Source organism: Homo sapiens, chromosome 20 (genome assembly GCF_000001405.40).
Source record: "Homo sapiens chromosome 20, GRCh38.p14 Primary Assembly".
Classification (NCBI taxonomy): Eukaryota; Metazoa; Chordata; class Mammalia; order Primates; family Hominidae; genus Homo; species Homo sapiens.
The window spans coordinates 43,987,012-44,013,634 of NC_000020.11; the positions used below are offsets into that span (position 1 = coordinate 43,987,012).

The 26,623-nt window shown below is 45.0% G+C and overlaps 1 protein-coding gene and 1 pseudogene across 12 annotated transcripts in view, besides 2 other annotated features; both read left to right on the forward strand.

Annotated features, from left to right (window-relative positions):
* Positions 1 to 26,623, forward strand: part of TOX2 (TOX high mobility group box family member 2) — a 154,765-nt gene that overhangs the window by 72,160 nt on the left and 55,982 nt on the right. For all 12 annotated transcript variants that reach the window (XM_047440561.1, NM_001098797.2, XM_047440565.1 and 9 more), the window contains one exon: positions 19,536 to 19,781. In XM_047440561.1, coding sequence (XP_047296517.1) covers positions 19,536 to 19,781 — 246 coding nt within the window. The remainder of the gene's footprint in view (positions 1 to 19,535; positions 19,782 to 26,623) is intronic.
* Positions 1,487 to 1,566: a silencer, noted in NCBI's record as "silent region_12937". NCBI's record gives its function as "represses an Ori minimal core promoter by ATAC-STARR-seq in GM12878 lymphoblastoid cells {active_cell/tissue: GM12878}" and the evidence as "EXISTENCE:reporter gene assay evidence [ECO:0000049][PMID:35858748]".
* Positions 19,189 to 19,689: an enhancer, noted in NCBI's record as "H3K4me1 hESC enhancer chr20:42634840-42635340 (GRCh37/hg19 assembly coordinates)". NCBI's record gives its function as "activates a minimal SCP1, AML or CMV promoter by ChIP-STARR-seq in naive H9 embryonic stem cells {active_cell/tissue: H9 hESC(naive)}" and the evidence as "EXISTENCE:reporter gene assay evidence [ECO:0000049][PMID:30033119]".
* Positions 20,237 to 20,526, forward strand: RN7SL443P (RNA, 7SL, cytoplasmic 443, pseudogene; annotated as a pseudogene).

Genomic DNA, 26,623 nt, shown 5'->3' on the forward strand with positions numbered 1-26,623 from the left:
CATGTTTGCTCCATTGCACTCTAGCCTTGGTGACAGAGTGAGACTGTTTCTTAAAAAAAAGTTTATAGGAGTGTTTTTCATTAAAGCTCAAAACTGAAAACAATCCAAATGCCCATCAAGAGTAGACTGGATACATGATTCTGAAATATTCTTACACAGTGGAATACTATGCAGCAATGAGAATGAATGATGTGTAACCACATGCCATCAAGCAGATGAGTCTCACAAACACGTTGAGTGAAAGAAACCAGACAACAAGACAGAACATTCTAGACAATGCCATTTACATACAGCACATGAACAGGCAAAACTAATCAATGGAGATAGAATGTGAATTGCAGTTACCCTAGAGGGGGGTGGGGAGTGACTATAGGGGCTTTGAGGGGCTTCAGAGGTGCTGGGAAGGTTTTCTCCCTTCCTTTGAGTGCTGTTTACACAAATCTGTTCACTTTATGAAAATTCATTGAGCTGTACATTTATGATTTGTGCACTTTTCTGTTGTATTCTATGCTTCAATAAGGTGTAAAAAAAGAAAGATCAAGGCATTGTATTTTTACAAGTATCTCAATTTTTAGAGACAGGGCAGGCAGGGAAGGGAACCTAGCCAGGTTTGGTCATTTGTATCTTGTGTTAATCCGGTCACCAGGGTAGTAAATTCCCACTGAGAGCATGGATGGGCGAGCCTTTTACCGCTTGAACAATGTATTTAACTTCCTGGGAGGGAAAGAATTATTTTAGCCTCATAATGGATGATGAGCTGTGAAATTGCTCTGGCTGTGGCTTGCCCCAGGGAAGCAGGTGGCACGGGCTTCCCCAGATCTGCTCAGCTCTGCAGGCTCTGGCCTTCCACTTCTATTTCCTTGTGGACAGAGTTTTAGGAAATGTTTGAAATATCAACATCTTTTTTTTTTTTTTTTTTTTTTTTTGGAGACAGTGTCTCACTCTGTCGCCAGGCTGGAGTGCAGTATCACAATCTTGGCTCACTGCAACCTCCACCTCCCCGGTTCAAGTGAGTCTCCTGCCTCAGCCTCCTGAGTAGCGGGGATTACAGGCACATGCTACCACACCCAGCTAATTTTTGTATTTTTATTAGAGACGGGGCTTTACCATGTTGGCCAAGATGGTCTTGATCTCTTGACCTCGTGATCTGCCCGCCTCGGCCTCCCAAAGTGCTGGGATTACAGGCGTGAGCCACCGCACCTGGCCGAAACATCAACACTTAAAGCACATGCATATGTGTGTGTGTGTATGTGTGGTTTTTGTGATGCTGTGCTGTGGTGCCAGAAAATCTTGTTAATGGAATATGTGAAGATGTCTAAGTTTCTCTGGGCACAGACAACACACATGCTTGTGTACAGACACATTCATGCACAAATATAAGCAAATACAAACACAACTTGTAGGCATGCTCAGTGTATGGAAAGGCACATTGAGCATTGCTGTGTGCTCCTGGGCAAGTTACTCAATCTCTCATTGCCTCAGTTTCTGCAGTGAAATGGAGATAATAAATCACCTGACTCTTGGGCTAGTGTGAGCAATACTCTCACATGTGCACAAGCACACACAAATGAGATTTTAGTTTCCGTTTATTTGCTTAATGGCTGCTTTCCTCCTAGACTGTGGGTTTCGTGGGGGCAGGGACCTGGCACAGGGTAGGAGTGGAGTTGGTATCTGGTGAGCTAATATCTGGTGATGAACAACTCTCACAAGCCTACTGGTACACATGCTGTTTAGACACATTCACAAGCACATCTGACACACTTATTCACAGGTGTAGGCACATACAGGGATATACACACACACACTCAAATGTGTCCAGACTCAGAACTTAGGAGGGTGGATTTATCTGCAGTTTGGGGACTCTGGACTAGAAGTGAGAACACTGGGTTTTGGTTGTGGCTCCAGGTAACTCTAATTTATTATGTGACCTTGAGTAAGTCTCTCTTCTCAGAGGTCAAGGACTCCCAGCTGCATGTGATGGACTGGAATTTGAACCACAGTTAGTCTGAGTCAAAGTGCTTTTAATGATTCAGGCCGTGCTATCCCCAGTGTGGTCATGGACATGCAGCATCCCCTGGAGCTTGTTAGGCATGCAGCATCTCAGTCCCCACCCAGAATCTGATTTAGAGTCTCCTAAATCAGAATCTTCATTTTAACAGATCCCTACTTGATTTGTGTGCACATTACAGATTGAGAAGTGCTGGCCTAGTGTACTTTGCCTTCCCCAAGCACTGCAAGCAATTAGCCCATGCTGAGGGGGTTCATAAGCTGGTGGGGCACAGGCACATGCCTACCCTGAGGAGCAGTTAGAGAATGGGAGAGGAGGCAGTCGGGAGCTGCCTATAAAGACAGAATCAACATGGAAGCTCAGCATCACACATGCGGGAGCCCAGTCCCTTCTATTTATAAAGAAGCAGAATCACACAGTCGTTAAGAGTGCCAATTCATGAGCTAGGCTTTTTAATTTTAAAAACAGCATATATTAGGGCTAGGCACAGTGGCTCATGCCTGTAATCCTAGCACTTTGGGAGGCCCAGACAGGTGGGTCACTTGAGGTCAGGAGTTCGAGACCAGCCTGGCCAACATGGAGAAACTCCATCTCTACTAAAAATACAAAAATTAGCTGGGCATGGTGGCATGTGTCTGTAATCCCAGCTACTCAGGAGGCTGAGGCTGGAGAATCACTTGAATCCGGGAGGTGGAGGTTACAGTGAGGCGAGATCACGCCACTGAACTCCAGCCTGGGCAACAGAGCAAGACTCTGTCTCAGAAAAAAAAAAAAAAAACCCACCCAGCATATATTAATCATCTCATAGTTACTGCATGCCAGGAATCAAGTGTGGCTTCATGTGGTGCCTCTGGCTTAAGATCTCTTGGAGGCTGTGCTCAATGTGATACTCAAGGCTGTGGTCTCATCTGATGGCTTGACTGAAGGGGGATTTACTTCCAAGTTCCCTCTATTGGTTGTTGGCCGGATTCAGTTCCCCTGAACTGAACCATTGAGTTGGAATCATGGCTCCATCCCTTCTTACCAGTTGTGTGGCTTTATGCAAGCTTCCCATCTCTGTGGCTCCTCTGTGAAATGATTATAATAATAACACCTGCCTCATAGAGTTGTTGTGAAGATTAACAAATTCATGTATGAAAAGTACATAGGATAAGGATACCTCTACACATGGTAAGTGCTATATAAATGGTTTCTGCTATTTTTTGAAAAAAGCTATAGAAAAGCAGGTCAGAACAATGTGACTATGGGGGCTGAGCTATATATTTTTTAAAAATTTTACTGGTAACTCCGTAGGTTGCAGCACAAGCCTAGTTCAGAGTGGATGCTTACTACATTTTAGGGGAGTGGATGAGCTCTGGGTGGCAGCCCCCTGATGGGATGTTTGGGGCATAGTTACAGGAGCACGGGGTCCAGGCTGCAAGAGGAGCAGGCCTTGCTCTATTCTGCCCAGATCACTGGGCCCCATTTGTGGTGCCACCACCTGGGAAGGCAGTAGGGTATTGTGGAAGTCCTCTCAATGTCACCTGGGAGGACAATGGCATGAGCAGAGGGGCCAGCACACCTAGGTGATACCACAGAATGCAGTGTTTGGGGGCTACAGTGAGTTCACTGTGGCTAGTATCAGGCAAGGTTGCAGGACTTGGTCCAGGAGGCCTTGGATGCCAAGCAGAGGCCGGGACCCTGTTCTGAAGGGTCTGAGCAGGGCAGTGTCCATGGAGCAGTGTGCTCTAGGGGACTTCACTGCTCAGCCTGGTGTCCTGGGATCTCGGGGCACTCATGAGGACCATTCTCAGAGAACTTAAGTGCCTTCATCCACAGGCAGCTGGCGTGTGGCACATTTTTAGGCAATGCTACTTCTGTCATTTTCAGAAGGTAGAAATGGGAAAGAAAAAAAAAGCTGCAAATAGACATCATTTTTCCAGAAGCTTATTTTAAGACAGAAACAACTAGAGAGCCTACTCATCATTTTTGCTGCTTTTAAAATCAGCACTGCCTTGTGTGTGCCTGGGTACCTGCATACAAGGAGCACAGGCATGAATTGAATTTGATTTTTAAAATCCCTTGATCCAATTGCCTCTTTTTACAGTTGGTGTAACTGAGGCCCAGAAAGGGGTCAGTGATTTGTCCAAGGTCACACAGCCTGTCAGAGGTAGGGGCTCAGATCTTCATGAGAAGATGCTAAGATAAGGACAAGGAACCAGGAGACCCCGATGGGCCAAGTTAGAATGATTTCATGCTGAACAGCGTCACTGAGCGGGCTGCTTCAGACCTTTGCTGACTTCTTAGAGCTTGCAGGAAAGATGGTGCAGCACTGAGCCCAATGCCATAGCAGACCATTAGGATGTTCATTCATTCATTCACTCCAAAACATATTTACTAAGCACCTACTGTGCGTCAGGCAGTGGTGTAGGTGCTGAGACGAAACTGTGAACAAAGCAGTCAAACACTCCTAGTCCTTACTCGTTCATGCATCCTTTTATTCAGTAAATGTTTATTGAGGGCCTACTATGTGCAAGGTACTATCCTTGGCCCTTGGAATATATCAGTGACCAAATGGTGGAATTTATATCCTAGTGAAGGGGACAGGCAATAATCATTATTATTATTATTATTATTATTATTATTATTATTATTATTATTTTGAGTTGGAGTCTTGCTCTGTCATCCAGGCTGGAGTGCAGTGGTACAATCTCAGCTCACTGCAACCTCCACCTCCCAGGTTCAAGCAATTCTGCTGCTTCAGCCTCCTGAGTAGCTGGGATTACAGGCATACACCACTATGCCCGGATCATTTTTGTATTTTTAGTACAGATGGGGTTTCACCATGTTGGCAACGCTGGTCTTGAACTCCTGACCTCAGGTGGTCTGGCCTCCCAAAGTGCTAGGATTACAGACGTGAGCCACTGCAGCCAGCCATAATCATTATTTTAAAGAAGTAAAGTATACTGTATGTTTGCAGGTAAAAGTTCTGTGGGGAAACTGAGCAGGTAGGGGAGCTGGGTGTGCCAGCAGGAGCTGCACTTGCAAACAGGGTGGCCAGGGAAGGCGCTGCTGAGAAAGTGACATTTGAGCAACGACTTGAAGGGGCGAGGGAGTTGAGATCTGGGAAAGGACATTGCAGTAGAGGGAACAGCCAGCACCAAGGCCCCGCAGTGGGAGTGTGCCTGGCATGTTTGAGGAACGTGGCTGGAGTGGAGGCAGTGAGGTGGAAGAACTGGGAGACTTATCTGATCGACGGCTGGGATGGTCAAGAGCAGCTCCCAACCACGTGTGGCATGGGCAGAGGTAAGTGACCCAGGACAGCATCAGGAGTGATCGTGTAGGAGCGATCGTGTAGGAGCCAGGATACCCCTACCTCCCTTGTAAGGCCTCCCAGCATTGACATGAGGGCAGGGCACGTGCATGGGGTGTGGCATCCCTTGCAGTGATTTAAAGGGAAGTCTCAGCATCTCGCAATGTCTTGGAGCCAAAGGAGCTCCCATTTTGAGGCCACTGTGGGAAACTCATGTGGCGTAAGGAAGGATCATAGCCTTCAGATCGAGCCAGGCCCATATCTGAAAAAATGTCGTGGTTGAATGTCTTAGTAATACCAGCATGGAGAAGCCATTTTCTAAGCATGATGTGAAAGCCAGAAATCATACATTAATACATTTAATGTTTTAACATAAATGTAAAGCCCTTGATATGGCAAAAGTTATAAATAAGATCAAGTGACAAATTGGGAGTAATATTTGTAGCATGTAACATGCAAACACATAGAATAAAACAATAGAAAAATGGCAGAGGTAATGCTGGTTTTAGAACATGAAACACATTCGTGTAGGGTTTACAAAAAAAAAAAAAAAAAGAAAAAATGGTGGAGGGCCAGATTTGGTCCACGGCCTGTGATTTGCTGATCCGAACTGATTTAGGAATGTTGACATGTCCAAAACTGAGCTCGTGGTCCTCCTTATACCCACCAAGCATGTTTTCCCCTCAGTATTCCTCCACCAGTGGCTCGAGATGGGAACCTGGGAGTGATGTTCGAGTCCCCGCTGAATGAGGAAGGCACGTGGCATGTCAGACACCATCCAGGCTGGCCATAGCGATGAGGGGGTGTCATAGGAGGTGAGACTGGAAGGAGACTGGGCCGGATCATGCAGGACTTTGCAGGCTACAGAGAGGGTTTCACACACACTGTATCCTGAGCGTAGAGGACATCAGCTAATGGGAGTATCACCATCAGTTTTGTGTGTGGAACCTCTACCCTGGCTGCTATGGAGAACAATTTGGAAGGAAAGAGATTAGAAGTTAGGAGATCATTGAGGAGGTGATTACAGCAGTCCTTGTGGGAGGTGATGACCGCTTGGACTAGGATGGTTGCTCTGCAGATGGATTGTGGTGGGAAGATTTGAGATACATGGGGAGGTGGGGCTGACAGGACTTTGTGATTGATTGGAGATGGGGATGAGAGAGGGAGGAATTGAACATCTCTCCCAGGTACCCAGCTTGAGCCACCGGTAGAGGAATACTGAGGGGGAAATGGACTTGGTGGGTACAAGGATGACCACAAGCTCAGTTCTGGACGTGTCAAAGAAATCATGGCCCTTGGACCAAATCTGACCCTCCACCTGTTTTGTGTAAATAAAGCTTTACTGGAACATGGGATCCTCCTAAGTTTAAATATTGCCTGTGGCTACTTTCATGCTATAGCAATAGAGTTGAATAGTTCTGACAGAGACCATATGACTCACAAAGCCAAAAATACATATTATCTGCAGAAAAAGTTTGCTGGGCTTTTGTGTAGGACATCCAAGGGAAGTAAAGTATCAAAGAGGCAGTTGGATATGTAGCTATAAAAATGTAATTTGAGGCTGGGCACAGTAGCTCACGCGTGTAATCCCAGCACTTCGGAATGGAAAGCAGGGAGGATTGCTTGAGGCCAGGAGTTTGAGACCAGTCTGGGCAATATAGCAAGACCCGGTCTCTACAAAAAAATAAAAAATAGTAGGACATGGTGGCACACGCCTGTAGTCCCAGCTCCTTGGGTGTCTCAGGTGGAAGATCGCTTGAATCCGGGAGATTGAGGCTGCAGTGAGCTGTGATCATGCCACTGTGCTCCAGCCTGGGCAACAGAGCAAGACCCTGTCTCGAAAAAGAAAATTCAATTAAAAAAACAAAAACAGTTTGGCACGGTGGCTCATGCCTATACTCCCAGCACTTTGGGAGGCCAAGGTGGGTAGATCGCTTGAGCTCAGGAGTTTGAGACCAGCCTGGGCAGCATGGCAAAAACCCATCTCTACAAAAAAAATTAACCAGGTGTGTTGGCTCGTGCCTGTAGTCCCAGCTATTCAGGAGGCTGAGGTGGGAGGATAGCTTGAGCCCAGGAGTCAGAGGCTGCAGTGAGCCAAGATCATGCTATTGCACTCTAGCCTGGGTGACAGAGCCAGACCCTGTCTCCAAAAAAAAAAAAAAAGACTACCACTTATTGGAAAACTGAGCTTCCTTATCTGTAAAATGGGGCCAGTGCCTGCTTCAGGCTGCCTCTTCTCATTCAGATGCTGTTGCCCACAAGTTATCCCCAGCCTTGCGACTTTTGCTACTTAAGTTCTGCTGGGACTGCTGCTTCCTAAAGAAAAGGACCCCCAAACCCACCCACCAATCATGTATCTTTCCAGAGCCTCCCCGTCCCTGCCCGGTGAATCACCCAGGATGCTGCTGAAACCTTAGCTTGAGTCAGATTGTGTCCTGAGCGAGAACACATGGGGATTATCATGTTTGTTCCCAGATAGGGTTTTAGTCAACAAAACTCCTGTCTAATGTGACTGCCTGTCATTGTCCCACTATGATGCCTCTGTCTGCCCTGATCCAAGCATTTCGGGGTCAGGAACAGCCACAGAGCAGCCGTGGCTGGCAGCGTGGCACACTGCCGGTGGGAGGGTGTTAGATGCACTCCTGTGTGAGTGGCCTGGCTCGGCTTGGAGGTTCTGCCTGTAGATAAAGGCTGAGAAAAGATATTACATTCCCCTCCCCCACCTCCTCCAGAATCCACGCTTCATTTTACCGGTATGGCTTTTCTCTCCTGTTTGGCTTATATATGGTATGGACTTTTAGTTTTTTATTTTTTAAGAAGCATTTTTAGTCCAGGAAAATGACAGGCCAAGCAAAAGGCATAATTGTCCTGATTTTCAGAAGTGCTACAATACTCCAGATCTGATGTATGGTGAGACTCGAATCAGAAAGATTCTATTAAACATGTCTGGGGTGGGTGACATAGGGGTATTATCTGAGATGATTAATTTGACTCGGTCATTATGGACACAGACAAGCCTGACAAAATTGCATTTCATTCCCCGCAGAATTCATAAAATCACTATACCCGTGATAAGAAGTTACAGTGCTAGGAGCTCAGCTCCAGTTGTTGGGGTTTGGAGTTTTGATAAGATGTCATTTTCTGTTGTGAAAACAGAGTTGAGAAACACTGAATCGCACTACAGTCTTTTAGCAGAGATGGCTTTTTTTAAACTTTTATTTTAGGTTCAGGGGTACGTGTGAAGGTTTGTTATATAGGTAAGCTTGTGTCGTGGGGATTTGATGTACGGATTATTTTGTCACCCAGGTATTCAGCCTAGTACCCATTAGTTATTTTTTCTGCTCCTCTCCCTCCTCCCACCCTCAAGTAGAACCCAGTGTCTGTTTTTCCTTTTCTTGTGTTGATGAGTTCTTATCACTTAGCTCTCACTTGTGAGTGAGAACATGTGGTATTTGCTTTTCTGTTCCTGCATTAGTTTACTAAGGATAATGGCCTCCAGCTCCATCCATGTTCCTACAGAAGACATGATGTCATTCTTTTTTATGACTGCATAGTATTCCATGGTGTATATGTACCACATACAACATTTTCTTTATCCAATCTGTCCTTGATGGTCATTCAGGTTGATTCCATGTTTGTTGTGAATAGTCCTGCAATGAACATTTGTGTACACATGTCTTTATGGAAGAATGATTTATATTCTTCTGGGTATATATCCAGTAATGGGATTGCTGGGTTGAATGGTAGTTCTGCTTTTTGTTCTTTGAGTGATTGCTATATTGCTTTCCACAATGGTTGAACTAATTTACACTCCTACCAACAGTGTAAGTGTTACCTTTTCTCTGCAACCTTGCCAGGATCTGTTATTTTTTGGCTTTTTCATAATAGCTATTCTGACTGGTGTGAGATGGTATCTCATTATGGTTTTGATTTGCATTTCTCTAATGATCGGTGATGTTGTAGCTGAGATGTTCTTGCTGGTGCGGGTTTTACTTGTTAAAATGGCAAGATGGTAGGGCGACCATATAATTTACTGGCCAAACCAGGACACTGTTTAGAGTGAAATAAAACATTATTAACGTGACACTGGAACAAGAGGCGTGGAGCAGGCCTGCCCTGGCCTAGCCAGGACTCGTGTGTGTTGGGAGGAGCTTGAACAGTGGCAGAGCAAAGCTTTGGCTACTGGTAGGCAGGGCTTCTTGTCCTCATTTTCATAAATGCTACCCATATGACTTTGGATAAGTCATTTTTCCCTTTTGAACCTCAGTTTCCTCATCTGTAAAATGGAAATGCCATTTTCTACTTGTTCTGCATATCATCCGAGGGCTTTTTTTTTCTTGCTTGGGTGTGTGTGTGTGGGATTTATGCTGACTTCCTGTTAATGTGTTTTCCCATCTGTTTCCTGGTATAATTCTCTCAGCTCTTAGGTGGGGTTTTGTAGACAAGGAAACTGAGTAGTAGGCAGTTTGGATAAATTGCCAGAAGCCCTCAGCAAGTAAGATTCCCCATGTCAGTGTAACTCCAAAGCCAGAGCTCTTTCTGCAGATCAACAATGTAACTCTCAATACATGAGAGTTACAGCACCTCATGTTTCCATGTATTTCAAATATTCCTCCCAACAAAGCTGGAAGGTTGTTGGAATACATAATCAGGATTCAACTCTGGGGACACAAGTTGGGTTCTCCCAAGAATCATTTCTCACCATGCATCACCAGGGAGTGAATGCCACTTCTCCTTTTATGCTATACTCCAACTCTCAACAAGCTCTTTGGAAAAAGGTCAAATCACCTGCTACTCCCTCAGTGAATCTTCACCTCTTTCTTATACAGCATTGTGGTGGGAAATGGAGATCGATAGTCAAAATGGCAGCCTGAGAACTTTCATGTAAGCACTAACTGGGATAAAGTAGAAAGCCATCACTAATAAAAGGAACACTTCAACAAGCAGATACAATAACAACTGATTTGTAAATACCTAACAACATAGCTTTGAAATATATGAAGCAATACAGCAGGTTGATAAAATCACAATCACAGTGGAAATTTTTAACACATTTCTCTCAGAAACCAAAGGGTCAAGCAGAAAAAGAAAAGTAATTGTTGTTTGGAAGATTTAAATGATAGAATTAACAAGCTGAAAATTATAAATATTGATCAAAATTAGCCTGATACTGTATCAAAGGAATTCTCAATGGCTTTTAAAGAATTAATATATTTTTCATTCCCTTTTGGGTATCTTTTTCTTTTTTCATGTCAGTGGTTCCTTATTTTATTAGCCTTTTCAAAAAAACAATCTCTTCCTTGTATTTCTTATCTAAAATTTGTTTTCTATTTTATTTTTCTCCTACAGACTTTCGGTTTATTTTGTTATTCTATTTCTACCATCTTGAGTTGAGTGCTGAGTTTGTCTTTCTTGTCTTCTAATAAATTCATTTTGATAAAAGTATAATTTTTCATTGTCCATCTCTCATAAGTTTTGTCAGGTAGTGTTCTCATCATTTCAGTTGTGATTTCCTTTTTAACACAGAAGTTACTTAGATGATTGCTCTTAAAGTGTTTAAGTATGTAGGAGGATTTCCCTCCCTCCATTTTTTTTTCTGCTCGTTTGTTTTTGTTAATAACTAGGTTGGTGCATGTACTAGTCTGTTCTCACATTGCTAGAAAACTACCTGAGACTGGGTAGTTTATAAAGAAAAGAGGTTTAATTGATTCACAGTTCTGCAGGCTCTATAGGAGGCATGGCTAGGGAGGCCTCAGGAAACTTACAATCATGGTAGAAGGGTGAAAGGGAAGCAAGCACATATTCACATGGCAGCAGGAGACAGGGAGATGGGGAAAGGGCTACACACTTTCAAACAACCCGATCTTGTGAGAACTTACTTACTGTCACGAGAACAGCAAGGGGGAAATCAGCCCCCATGATCCAATCACCTTCCACCAGGCCCCTGCCTGAACTCTGAGAATTACAATTTGACATGAGATTTGGGTGGGGATGCAAAGCCAAAGCCTATCAGTGTAGTTAGGTCTTAGAATTTGATCTATCTAATTTCTACCTTTTGAAGAGTTTGAGATTCTCTTTGTAGTTTACCTGGTTATATTTTGTAAGTGTTCTATGGACATTTGAAAGGAATAAATCAAAAGAGTGAATTGCGTCATTCAGATCCTCAATCCTCACTCATTTCTATCTGACTGATTTGCCCATTTTATTTATGGTTTTATACTAACAGTTTTTTACATTTTATATTTCTGTGGTTTTATCAATTTACATAAAAATTTGTCATTTCTTCTTAGTAGATTTATATCATTTATTGACTTAAGTGTTCCTTTTGATATTTTTTAGTGCTTTTTTGCCCTGATTTGTACTTAATTTGTAATTAATTTTGCCACTCTGCTTTTTGTTGGCCTGATACATCTATCTATCTATCTATCTATCTATCTATCTATCTATCTATCTATCTATTTATTTTAAGATGGAGTCTCATTCTGTTACTCAGGATGGAGGGCAGTGGCACAATCTCAGCTCACTGCAACCCCTGCTTCCCGGGTTCAAGGGATTCTCCTGTCTCAGCCTCCTGAGTAGCTGGGATTACAGGCACTCGCCACCATGTCCAGCTAATTTTTGTATTTTTAGTAGAGATGGAGTTTCACCATATTGGCCAGGCTCATCTTGGACTCCTGACCTGAGGTGATCTACCCACCTTGGCCTCTCAAAGTTCTCGGATTACAGGCGTGCGCCACCATGCTCGGCTGGTGTCTATTTATTTTTATCTTACAGGTCATTTTATTTTAGGCATGTCTATTATAAACCATATGCTGTATGTATTTTAATAAAAATATTTTGTCTTTTAATAAAGCAATTGAAATCATTCGTATTATGTTATGAATATTTAGTCTTAATGCTGCCATTTTATGAATATTCTTTATTATGTTTGATAGTTCACTCCTGTTTTCTTTGCAGATTTTTCTAGATTGATAAAGTTCTGTTTTCTTCTACTTTCTTTGGTTCTTCCAATGGTGTAAAATTTTTGCTTTTCCTTAAAATTATAACAAATATTTAATAAATTAATTCATCAAAGTTTCAGGGCAAGATCAGTATGGAAAAATCACTGGTGTTTCTGTAAACCAACAATGAACAACCCATAAAGGAAACTAAAAAAAAATTCCATATATAATAACATCTAAGAGAATAAAATATGTAGGAATAAATTTAACCAGGAAGGGGAAAAACTCCTAAACTGAAAACTACACAACATTGTCAAAAGAAATTAAAGATCTAAATAAATTGAAAGATATCCATGTCTGTGGATTGGAAGACTTAATAATGTTAAGATGGCAATACTATCTGAGCGTCTACAGATTCAATGCAATCTTTATCAAATTTCCACTGGTCTTTTTTGCAGAAATGAAAAATCTGATCCTCAAATTCATATGGAATTGCCAGGGGGCCTGAATAGCACCAGTAATCTTGAAAAATAACAGGCTGGAGGACTCACACTTCCCAATTTCCATAAAGCAACAGTAGTCAAAACAATGTGGTACTGGCATAAGGATAGACATATAGACCAATGGAATAGAATTGAGAGTGTAGAAATAAACCAATACATCTATGGCCAGTTGATTTTATATAGGGGTGTCAAGACCATTCAGTGGGGAAAGAACAGCAGGCTGTGTGGATATTGAGAGCAGAGTATTCTAAAGGAAGGGAACAGCCATTGCAAAGACTCTGGGGCAGAAACGTGCCTGGAGTAGCTGGAGTGGTATGAACAAGGGGAATAGGAGATGATGACGTCAGAGAGGTAAAAAAGGACGTGGGACTGGGGAGAGCAAGACTACATAGCATGGGGCCGTTGTTCCTTATCTGAGTGAGAAGGAGAGCTCTAGAGGGTTGTGAGCAGAGCTTATATTTTAGCAGGATAATTCTGGCCCTGGGGTGAGAATGGACCTTAGCAAAGGTGGAGGCAGGGAGGCCAAGAGGCCAGGGAGGAGACTGCTGCAGTCATCCAGGGCAAAGAGGGTGATGGCTCAAGGTGGAGCTGATGGTATTTTTGGACACATTTCGTGTAGGATGTGAGAGGAAGAGAGGGGTCAAGGGTGACACCTTGGTTTCTGGCCTGAGCAACCAGAAGGATGGAGTGGCCATTAGCTGAGGTGGAGAAGACTGTGGGAGGGGTAGGTTCTCTCTTAAATGTGTTAAGTTGTTTGAGGTATCAATTAACATCCAAAGGGAAGGACAAATAACAGTGGGCTATATGAGTCAGCATTTCAGGGGAAGGTCTGGCTCGGTGGTAAGAACTGGAGCTCAGCAGCATACAGATGGTCCATAATGCCATGAGTCTGGATGAGAGCACCAGGGAGTGAGTGTGTTTAGAGGAGGGTATAAGATCTGAGCTCTGGGAATGTCATCATCAATAGATTAAGGAGAAGAATGGGAACCAACAAAGGACATACAGAATGGCCTGTGATGTTGGCCATGGACAGAAGAAATGGCCTGTGATGTTGAAGGACCAATATCTCTGGTGTCCCAGAAGCCAAGTGAAGAAGTTTGTTCCCAGGGAGGAGGATGAACTAATTATATCAAATTCCACTGATAAGGTCAAGATGAAGGCCAGATGAAGACTGAGCATTGGCCACTGGATTTAGGAAGATGGAGGTCATTGATGACCTTCCCAAGCAGTTTTGGTGGAAGTGGGATGAAAACATGATTGGAGTGGGTTTAAGAAAGAACGAGTGGAAATGAAGAGGTAACTCTTTGCAGATTTCCTGTAAGATTTTACTAATATTTTTAACTGGCAAAGCTCTTACGACTTAGCATCTCTTTCTATATTTTCATGAGGATGCCAGTGGTAGAGAGAAAATTAGGCACCATGGAACGGCCAATTCTACTGTAGGAAAATGCTGGGTTTGGAGTCACAAGACCAGGGTCTGAATCACAACCAGGACCTACTAGCTATGTGACACCTCTACTCTCTAAGCTCCATGTCCCTCATCTGCAAAATGAAGATAATAATCACTTCTCTACAGAACACATATGAACTAAATGGAGAAGGTACATGGACATGCTGGGCTCAGTGCCTGGCACATAGTAGGTACTCAGGACAAGTTGTTTAGTGTTCAGTGTCATGCATGTAGGATTTGATTGCATTCAGAAGAGGCATGTTCATGTTTGCGTGCTTAGTTATTTTTAAGTGTGCTAATTGCCTCTTTAAGTGAATTGTCATAATTGTGTGATTCCAATATTTTGATACAGCATATGCTTATTTTTTCAAAAGGCTTCTGGTCAATTGGGCCGGTTCCAGTGGATTGAAGTTTTGTTTTTTGACTGAAAGGAATGGACTTGAGCAGTCAGTTAGCATTCACTGGGCACCTTCTCTGTGCCAGCACCTGCTCTGTGCCAGCACCTATTTTAACAGTGCTGAGGGACAGGGAGGGAGGTGTCGGTCAAAACACATGAACAGCAGGTGGCTGAGGGGCGTGTAGTATGCTGGGAAGGAGAGCTGTGGTTTGAAACTAGAGCCTGGGACATTCCCCCATTTCCCGTGCCCATTTATTGTGTTGTAATGAGTCATTACTGTGCACTGTGCTAGGCACTGAGGACAAGAGAGTTAAAGGACTTCCCCAAAGACACAGAATAAGTAAACAGCAGCTCACTGGCTCAGGATCCTCATTTATGAGTGTTCCTAACTCACACAGCACAGGTCTGAGCACCACAGGGTGATGTGTGTCTTCAGCCTGACCACCAAGATGGGCTGGGGGCCGATTGCCTTTAGGTGGCAATAAGCCACAGATATCATATCACCCCAGAAAGTAGAGTCCCACTGCCAGCTTTCCAGTTCAGAGTCGCCACCTCCAGGAAGCCTTCCCAACCCCTCTGCCCATTCTAAGGCAAGACTCTACTCCTTTGATGCTCCCTATACAATTCCTTGTGTGTGTCCCCCATAGTATCATAATATTCATGACCACCTGCAACCATTTTGACTCTACTTACCTTTTGCTTGTGTCCCTGTCCCCCATATCCCAGTGTGCTACTGTTTGCTTATTCTGTGTCCTTGGGGAAGTCCCCACCATCTCTGAAACTCCAGATGAGGGCAGCAAGGATAGCAATAACTAACGCTGACATCACTCACTGTGTGCTCAACATTGCCCTGAGAAACTTACATGTTATTGATTCATTTATTCTTTATAGCAGCCCTGTAGATACATACTGTCATTACCTGCTTTCTCACACATGAGGAAACTGAGGCACAGAGAGGGTGTTTTAGTCTGTTTTGCATTGCTATAAAGGAATACTTGAGACTAGATCTTTTACAAAGAAAAGAGGTTTAATTGGCTCATGGTTCTGCAGGCTGTATCAGCATGGCACCCACATCTGCTCAGCTTTTGATGAGGCCTCAGGAAGCTTTTACTCCTGGGAGAAGGTGAAGGGGGGAGCAGGCATGTCACACGGCAGGAGAATGAGAGAGAGAGAGGGGAAGAGGTGCCAGTCTCTTTAAACAACCAGCTCTTGCATGAATGAATAGAGCAAAAACTCACTCATTACCACAGGGAGGGTCCCAAGCCACTACTGAAAGATCTGCCCCATGACCCAAACACTTTTGGCTCAGCCCCACCTCCAACAGTGGGTCACTTTTCAACATGAGATTTGGAGGGGACAAATATCCAAACTGTATCAGAGGGTAAGTAATGCACCCAGAGTCACACACAGGCAGTAAGTGGCAGAGCCAGGATGCAAACCCAAGCTGCCTGGCTCCTAACCACTGCACTGCACTGCCTCCTGCGTGATAGGGACAGTAGTTCCCAGCTCCAGGGCAATCATGAAGGTTGAGTGAGATGCATGTTTATGGTGTCCACCCCAGGACCTGGCTGTACATTCAACTTTTTTTTTTTTTTTTTTTTTAAGATGAGGTCTCCCTCTGTCACCCAGGCTGGAGTGCAGTGGCACAATCACAGCTCACTTCAGCCTTGACATCCTGGGCTCAAATGATCCTCCACCTCAGCCCCCGAAGTAGCTGGGACTACAGGTGCATGGCCACACACCCAGTGAATTTTTGTATTTTTTTTTGTAGAGATGGGGTTTCACCATGTTGCCCAGAGTGGTCTCAAACTCCTGGGCTCAAGCGATCCTCCCGTCTTGGCCTCCCAAAGTGCTGGGATTATAGGCCAACTCATTGTTTCTGAGCTCTTACTTTGTGTTCCAACTCTGTGCCAGGTCCTGACTGAGGCATTGGGGATATAGGGAGCAAAACTCATGTTAAATATCAGACAAATAATCACACAAGAAGTCAGTTAACTACTTATAACGATGAGTGCTTCCAAGGAAAAATTCTGGGCAATCTTGGGGTGTGAAATGGGGTTTGATCTACCCTGGAGTATCAGGGAAGACATTTAAACAAAACCTATTGTGGAGAGATGAGTAGGAACTAACCACGGGAGGGACAGTGTGTGGCAGGCGGAGTGCAGCAGAGGGAACTGTGTAGGGGAGAGCCCAGAGGCAGGAGAGGTCACTGTGGTTAGAGGGGTGGTGGGGCCAGGCCATACAAGGACTTCCAGGGCTGGATCTGGGACTGTGGACTTCATCCTGAAGGCAGTGGGGAGCTCATCATTTGATGTGGGATTGACATCGTGTGATGATCATCTTGACAGAGACCAGTCTGGCTACAGAAAGAGAATAGAGCAGCCCGAGTGGCCAATGAAAACGGCTGGTAAGAGGTGGTGGTGGCCTGGACTAGGATAGTGGCAGTGGGAAAGAAACAGATTTTAAAGATATTTTGGAGACATTTCATTGGATTTGAGAGATGTCAGGGGGTGAGTCCCAGGTTCGTGGTTCTATGAACGGGATGGAAGGTAGTGTCACTTGCTGAGATGTAGAGGACACAGGGACACGGCAGGGGAAGGGGTATTATGATCAACAAACGAGAACATTGACTGGGCATCGAGAGGCTCCGCCCTGGAGCTCAGATGAGTGACCAAGGCTGGAGGGGTAAATGTGGCACTTAGATGAGAATCGAAACCCAGACTGGTTGAGGTCCACCTGGGGAGGCAATGTAGGGCAGGAAGAGAGGGGAGTTCAGGACAGCCTGAGGAACCCTAGATGAGAACAGAGAAGGAGAAGGTGAAGCAGGAAGGTGGACATGGTCATGGCCTGTTCCCAGATGACTGTTTGCCCATCTATGAGATCATCCCACTGCAGCCCTGCAGAGGGAGGAAATGAGCAAGGGGCCATGTGGGCTCTGGGTCCCAGTGGTGGGTCCCAGGGTGGCAAGGCACTTACCCTCTCAGTCTGTTCTACGACTGTAAAGGGTAGTCTAGGGCTCTCCCCCATGGAATTTAGGTATCTTGTGCTTTCTGCTGTTGCCACAGGCTGTACACACACCCAGCTATCCCCGCTGCTCAGTAACTTCATCCAGCAGACACTCAGGGAATTGGCCACCACCAACCAGGTCCTGTGCCAGGCTCAGTGACCTTCACTATTTTAACACACGCACTTAAACAATACAATGATGCTAGAAGGTGTTATTTCTTACATGCTATTGTGGTTTAGGTTTCCCCCCACCTCTATGCATATTTCTTGATTGATTTAAGATTTAGCACTGTAGGTAACAATATATGTTACGTAGTTATATAGTCTGAAAGAGCTAGAAGGAAGATATTGAATGTTCCCAACACAAATGATAAATGTTCAAGATGCTGGATATGCCAATTACCCTGATCTGATCGTTATGCATTATTTGTATCAAAACATCACTGTGTACCCCATAAGTAAGTACCATTATTTTATGTCCATTTAAAAAATGAAAGAAAAAGTGTAGAAAACATTTACCTTTATATTTACCAATGCCTTTGATATGCTTCCTCTGTTCTGGAACATTCTCAACTATTATCTCCTCAGTTCTCCCCTGACCTATTATTCTCTCACTCTTCTCCTTCCAGAATGCTGATTGAACAGGCATCCATTAGACACTCTTACTCTGTCCGCTGTGCACATAAACTCTCTTTCATATTTCCTTTTTGACCGTCTATGCCAAACTCTGGATAATTTCTTCAGAGTCATCTTCCAGTTGACACACCTCTTTTCTGCTAGGTCTAATCTGTTCCAGAGTGTAGAAATGGAAGAATGACTCCTCAAGCTAAAGTAACCTTGTTACTAAAACCCCAACAAAGACAGTATGAGACAGGAAAATTATAGGCCAGTCACACTTGTGAACCTGATACAAAAGTCCTAAACAAAACATCAGCCAACAAAACCCAACAATCTATAGAAAGAATAATATGTCATGACCAAATAGGGTTTATTCCAGGAATGCAAGATTGATCTACCATTAGAAAACCAAATTACATGTTTACTATGCTAACTGAATTAAAGGAGAAAGGTCATTTGAGCCTGTCAGTGGATGCAGGGGGAAAGAATTTGATACAATTGAAAAGCCATGCATGATTTTAATAAAGCCACACACTTTGACCCACCAGGAGGTCCCTCAGCTTGCTTAAGAATACCTCAAAGAACCTGTGGCAAATGGCATCCTTTGTGGTGAAATATTGAGCTCTTTAAGATAAGGAAAAAGGCCCGGATGTCTGTTCTCACCATTTCTATTCAGCGTTGTCCTGGAGGTTCCTGGACAGTTTGGCGAGGTGGGAAAAAAAAAACAAGGAAGGACTGGAAAGGAAGGTGCACAGGTGACTCCTGGTTTCTAGCTTGCACTCCTGCAAGGATGTTTGTGCCATTTACCAAGATGAGAAAGACTGAGAAGCCTTGGGCTGAGTGTTGGGAGCACAAGAGAAAATGGCCTGGCTTCCCTGGAAAGATCACCAGGCCTGGAATCAGGATACTTCAGCTCCATTCCCAACTCTTCCCCCAGCCATGGATGGACTGCTTTCCTCCCTGGACCTGAGTCTCTATCTGTGAAATGGGTGGGCAGGAAAGATGGATCCAAGGTGGACTGTGATGGCCAGATCTGGTGGGAAACCAGAGAGGAACAGGGGGAGCCGGCCCCCATTCTCCAGGAGGGCAGGCTTCTGTGTGCAGAGCCTCTGGTGGGAGGAAACATCTGTTTGGGGATAGGGCAGGAGTCTGACCGAGTTAGGGCACCGTCTTGACCCTCTGCCTTGCAGAAACATCATCCCTTCTCTCCTTTGCCAAGGGGTTGCTATCGTTATTATTGTTGCTGTTATTGGTGCTGTTGGGTATGTTCTGCGGTTGTAAGGCACTGACCCCCACCGACATGTCTTTTTGATGTTTTAGACCTACAACGGCCAGAGCGAGAACAACGAAGACTATGAGATCCCCCCGATAACACCTCCCAACCTCCCGGAGCCATCCCTCCTGCACCTGGGGGACCACGAAGCCAGCTACCACTCGCTGTGCCACGGCCTCACCCCCAACGGTCTGCTCCCTGCCTACTCCTATCAGGCCATGGACCTCCCAGCCATCATGGTGTCCAACATGCTAGCACAGGACAGCCACCTGCTGTCGGGCCAGCTGCCCACGGTGAGTCCCTATCGCCTGCTGCAGTTCCTGCTGATGACAGCAGGGAGGGGGTTGAGAGGGAAGCAGAAGAATGTTGATGCTTTGATAAGAACTCTCTGCTCATGGGCAGGGTCTGGGTTTACCTGGTTGCTTGGAGTTGGTAATCCCATGCTGGGATTACCTGGTAGCATGGGAGTCTGTGGGACACGGTGGGTGGGCATGGAGAGAAATCTAATATCAGCACACTGCTTCCTTCTGGAGCTCTGCGTACAGTATCTCGGTATTGGTTTGCATTATTTGTTAATAGTATAATCTCATTTTTATTTTTTAACAGTTTTATTGAGGTATAATTTATATTCCATACAATTCACCCATTTAAAGTATACTACTTAATGACTTTTCATATATTGACAGAGTTGTGTGACCATTAACACGATTGATTTTAGAACATTTCATCACCCCATAAAGAAACACTAGCTAGGCACAGTGTTGTGTACCTATAATCTCAGCTACTTGGGAGGCTAAATGGGAGGATCGCTTGAGCCCAGGAGTCCTGGGCTGTAGTGCCCTATGCAAATCAGTTGGCTGCACTAGCTTTGGCATCAGTATGGTGACCTCCTGGGAGAGGGGAACCACTAGGTTGCTTAAGGAGGGGTAAACTGGCCACGGTCGGAAACAGAGCAGGTCAAAACTCCCATGCTAACCAGTAGTGGGATTGTGCCTGTGAAAAGGCACTGCACTCCGGGCATCATGGCAAGACCCTATCACGAAAAGAAAAGAAAAATGCTCTGTTGCCGGGCATGGTGGCTCACGCCTATAACCCCAGCACTTTGGGAGACTGAGGCAGGAGGATCACTTGAGTCTAGGAGTTCAAGACCAGCCTTGGCAACATAGCAAGACCCCGTCTCTACAAAACAAATTAGCCAGGTGTGGTGGCATGTACCTGTAGTCCTAGCTACTTAGGAGGCTGAGGTGGGAGGATCACTCAAGCCCGGGAGGTCAAGGCTGTGGTGACAGAGTGAGACCCTTTCTCAAAAAAACAACAGGAAGAAACATCATATTTTTGGCCATCACTCCCAATCCACCCCCTGAAATCTTCAGCCCTAGGCAACCACTAATTGACTTTCTGTCTCTATAAATTTGTCTGTTCTGGACATTTCATAGAAATGGAGTCATATAATTAAAAAAAAATTGTATCTTGCTTAAGCTGCCAGAGAAGAGGGTGATTACTGAGTTAAAGTTCATGGGATAGGTAAAAATGTAGCAGGCAGACAAAGGCAAGAAAGAACCTTTCCCAGGTTGGGGGAATATCAGGTACAAAAGGAGGTGGCAAGGGTGCTCGTGCCATGCTTGGGAATAGCATGTGGTTCATGCTTTTTATTGGGCTGGAGAGGAAGGACCTGGAGCCAAGGAGAGAGAGGAGATGAAAGAGCTCAGCAGGGCCTGGATCATAAGGGTCCTGAATCCCATTCTAAGGAGATATATATCCTTAGAATGGCTGATTTGAGGCCAGGCATGGTGGCTCACAGCTCTAATCCCAGCACTTTGGGAGGCTGAGGCGGGGGATCACTTGAGGCCAGGAGTTCAAGACCATCCTGGTCAACATGGTGAAATTCTGTCTCTACTAAAAATACAAAAATTAGCCAGGCATAGTGGCACACACCTGTAATACCAGCTACTCAGAAGGTTGAGGCACGAGAATTGCTTGAACCTGGGAGGTAAAGGTTGCAGTAAGCTGAGATGGTGCCACTGCACTCCAGCCTGGGCCACGCAGCAAGACCCTGTCTCAAAAAAAAAAAAATAATAATGGCTGATCTGAACCATCAAAATCTATAGAAAAATGGTAGAACAGTAGAGCATTTTTTTTATACCACAGAAAAATCTCCTTAAGGGAATTCTATTGCTTCTTCTGAACAACTGTGACTTGTGTTTATTTTTGCTTTTTTTCCCTTCACATTTAATATTACGTACTAGTCATGACTCTTACGTTCATTTTTAAGTGACAGGGACCAAACTCAAACTTATACAAAAGAGTATGAAATATCCAGGGGGTGGATACAGGGTTTCAGGCATGGTTCAATCCAGGAACCCCACCAGTGTCACAAGGCCCATTTCCACACAACAGGCTTGATGGCTGCTGGCAGCCAGCATCTTCCCTGACATCTCTGGCAGAGAGGATGATGACAGCATCGCTGGACAGACCACTATGTCTAGGAGGAAGCAGTTCACTATTTTGTCAGCTTGAGTCACACATACACCTGTGGCACAGGAGGAGGCCTGCTTAGTTGATTTTCCTAGCAGAATCTCATGGTTTGGGGTGGCTTGTGTCTACCTCTGCCATGACTGTTCAGAAGCCACAGTCGAATTTGTGGCCCAATTCTAGCAGACCCCTGGGACCTTAGGACACGGCTTTATAGTCAAACGATCTCAACTGTATTTTGTTTACTCTTCATTTATTACCACCAAACTTCCTTGTTCAAAAAAGCGGTGTCCTCTGTGTATTTTTATAAGGCACGTCACATTTTTTTGTTTGTTTTTGAAGCTAGGTGGGAAATAAAAGGAGACAAGAAAGGGAAGGAGGGTGGGAGGAAACCAACTCGAGATCCACATTTCATAGTGTTTGGTTCTCACGAAAGAGTTCAATGAAAATGGATGCTCCGTTTCTCCAGAAATTTTTTCCTCGTGGGTCCATCAATAATGCAAGTCCTCAGCTTCCTCTTCTCTCTCTCAAACCTAGCGATTCAGACTCACACTGCCATGTCTGGAATGGTTTTAACCCATTTATGCCTGAGGTTGCAATTTTTTGAATTTTTGCTATCAGACCTTGGCAATGAGCTTGAGCAGTAGGATATAAATAACTCCCACATGCTTAGCGTTTCAGTAATGGAACACTAGGCATAAATGGGTTTCCAGTTCGTTAGAATGCTTGTACCGTACTTGCTTACTGGGCTCATTTTCTAGCAGAAACCTCACTGCTCCGGACCATCCCTGTTTGGGATTTATGGTAATACAAACAAGAGCAGGGCCAGGTGGGCACTTTGTCATCTGCTATGAGGGCTGTGGTGCAGGGGTGAGCATGGCTACAGTTTGGGGCCACTGTGTTGCCGCCTTTGGTACTGGGGTGAATGGAGACAGTGTGGGGTGGTGGTTGGTCCCAGACACCAGAATTAGATCCTGGCTTCACCTTTGAAGCCTCGGTTTCCTTGTCTTGGAATCATAATCGTACCCACCTGAGGATTGTGATGAAGTGTATCGGAGATAATGTATGTAAAGTCTTAGCAAATGTCTGGCAGAGAGTAAACATTCAATGAGCACTTGCTATTATTATTTGTAATAAAAACGAATTTGACTGTAACTGAATGGCAGTGTTTTCCCTTAAGTCTCATTTACCTAAAGGAGCAGACTGCAGACGCCCTCAGGTACATTTGTAGGGCCACCTGATTATAATAGCTCTGATAATTACAAAGCATGTTATCTTTTTGTCAAAGATGGCCCCCTAATTGCCCCTCCTAGGAAATGCTTTTGTTGGGCTCTGTCCAAATAGGCACTTGCAGTCGTTTTCCAGATTTTCTTTAAAAGTAGCTCATGTTTAAGAGGCTTCACAAATTCAGATAGCCTTAATTCTTCCATTAGACTTTGCAAGGGTTCACTGAATTTTATATTTTCTCTTTATGTCATGAAAGATAAGCCAAACTCTATTACCCAGGGGAGGGCACCCGGACCAACTGGGAAAACCAGATAAGGAGATGTACATGCATTGGGACTATCTGGTGAAGAGAGACAAGGGACTCTTCAAGACAAGAGTTTTTAAATTCATCTGAACCACAGGACAAAGGGGCGTGGCTCTGTGTGTGCGTGGGCATACACGCTACGTGGGTGACGCTGGAATTGGTGTTAACACCTGCTGGGTTTCAAGCACCGTGCAGAGGGCTTTCAAACGTTTTCTTGCATAATCCCCCCAAGAAGCAAACCGAGGGATAATGATAATAGTATCATGAAGGGATGGAGACCCCAAGGTGGCAGATGATTATATTAGTGTCTCATGGCTGTTCCAAGAGATTGCCACCAACTTGGGGGCTTAAAAAAACAGAGATTTATTCTATCACACCTCCAGAAGTCCAGAAGCAGTCTCCTTGGGCTGAAATCACGGTGTCAGGAGGAACTCACTTTCCCCAGAGGCTGTCGGGGAGAATCCAGCCTCGCTTCTCCTCCGGCTCCTGGGGGTTGCTGGTCTTCCCTGGCTCGTGGCTGCATCATTCTGATCTCTGCCTCCATCTTCACATCGCCTTCCCTCTGTCAGCAAAACTCCCTTTGCCCCTCTTCTAAGGACATTTGTGATGGCATTTAGGGCATTTGGGGATAATCTAGGAAAATCTCCCATCTCAAGATCCTTAATCACATCTGCAAAGACCCTCTTTTCTAAATACAGTACCATTTACAGGTTCCAAGGATTAGGACCTGATGTCTTTGGGGGACATTTTTCAACCTACCACAGTGATCCTCAGCTGTGCGACAGCCTTCATTGAGTGCCCACTAGGTACCAGGCATTGTTCTAGGCTTGTGATCTACAAGATGCCCTTGAGGGACTCCTGGTGCAGATGGAGAGAAGGTGAAAAGCCTATTTCTAAGACTGTGGTAAATTCTCTAATAGCATCAGTGTGTGGTGCTCTGTGCCCGGAAGAGGCCCCTTAGATGTGGGGTTATCACTTCCTAGAGGAAGTGTCCCCTGATGCAGAGTAGATTCTATAAGTACTTTGTGAATGAATTACTGTCATGCAGCTCTTAAACAGCAAGGCCAGAATGCAAACCCAGCTCTATCCCCTGCCATCCACCTCTCAGTTTTACCAGATGGCTGAGGGATGGTGCGGCTGGGCTGCAGGGCCACAGGTGGCACAGAGGATGCGCTGATGGCCAGGGTGCTTCAGGCGTTGTCTGCACAGATCGAGATACACTGAGGATGTCATCCCTGGAGAGGCGGGCAAGGCCAAGGCATTTGACAGCCATCTCATAAATGCCAAAGCCCCCTTGGCTCTGATCCCAGAGGCCACCAATTCTTTCCGGTCCCCTGCCCTGGCCTGTTCAGCCTTGCAGGCGTGGGTGGGAGTTAGCTTTCTGCTTTGAAGGTATGGCAGCTAGCAGGAGTCATGTACAGTATTGGAATCGAACCCCTTTTACAAAATTAAATATGCTTAAGGCTTCTCTCTCAACTTCAGCGTCTTAACTGATTAAACATTTATTTCCAAGACAAAAAGAGTCAATTTAGTATGAAAGATATATTTTGCCGGTTTAATTTAAAGTGCTGCACCTCTGTCTGACCCTGATTTTCATAACTCAATAATTTTATCCTGTGTTGATTGTCTCATTTCGAGAGAGATATTGTATGTATAAATCAGTTTCTAAAATACCCAAAGAAACTCGAAGAGTGGAATTTATTAAGCTGCTTCTGTTAAGTCTGAAATCATTTATTTTGGAGTCGTCCTTGGGAAATGTTTGAGCTTATGCTCCTGGCTTACCCAGGAGAGGAATTACCCTGGGAGATGACAGAGTTGGACATTCCCAGACAGGTTCCTGGGGAACCTGCATCTTTTGTGAGACCAGAGAAACTCCTGGGAGAGCCTCGGGCAGATGGAGGCTGGGCCCAGCCAGAAATGAATTCTGGCAAAGCTCCCCCGACAGTAGCTATAGATTCTGCTGATCAGGGAAATGTGGGTTTTTCCTGCACCAAGCCCTGTGGGTCCCTGGAGTTGTGTGGTCTTGCTGTGGGACTCACTTAGTGCAGGAGAGGTATGCAGTGTCATTCATGCATTCTCCTCCCAGCTTTGACTCCTGTTTGCTATCTTTGGGATCTTGGACAAGTTACTTCTCTCCCAGCCTCAGTTTTCCTATCTATGAAATGGGGATTGGGATTTCAGCTCTGGTGAACTCACAAATAGGAAAATGGGTAGAATTGTTTTGTTAGCAGTGACATACTAGACAAGTATATGGATCTGAAGTTCAATAGTCCTCCCACTACCAACGTCACACATATCACTGGCCTAAGGGGGCTCAAATACTATCAAATGCAGTACTTAGTGCTGCGTTTCAGATTCTTTGTGTTCTAGGTCCCCGTCCCAAAGCATCTTGCCAAGATAGGCCCTTCATGCTGCACACACAGGGCTAGGGGCTGTGGCCCAGGGTCCCCCACCCCAAGTGAAGGGCCTTTCCATGCTGGTGCCCTGGACTAGGCTGTTGGGGAAGGGGCTGAGCTGTACCTTAGTTGCCACTTGACCACCTTGCTTTAGAGATGGTTCCTGTGCCCGGAGCCTGGGGGCAGGATTTAAAACTTGGAGTGGGGACTTGATCCTGGGGGCAGGGCCTTGGACTTAGGGACAAGTTCTGGGTATTGACTCTGGGAGGTCCTTGATATACCTTGGAGTGGGGACTTGATCCTGGGGGCAAGGGCCTTGGAGTTAGGGACAGGGTCTGGGTATTGACTCTGGGAGGTGCTTGATATACCTCCTAACACCTCCCCCATTTTCTTCCTGTTCTGAACTATTCCCCTCCAATCTCCTTTCTCTCTCCTCTTCTCTTCCCTACCACTTTCCTCCTCCCTGCAGAAGGCATGGTCTATCCCTGTTGGATTCTCACAAGTTGAGACATAGGAATACCCTCCCAAGTTGCAGACACAAGGAAGAAAGACCCTCAACCCTTGGTCCTCTGGTCTTCTGAAACACAGGGGGCAGTAGGGACCCCCTAGTCCAACCCATTCATTTCATTACTCTTAATGCATAACATTTTTGGTTTGGTCTTGTCTTATGAATGTATCAATTAGCTTTTGCTGTGTAACAAACTACCCCAATACCTAGTGGCTTAAAACAATGAAT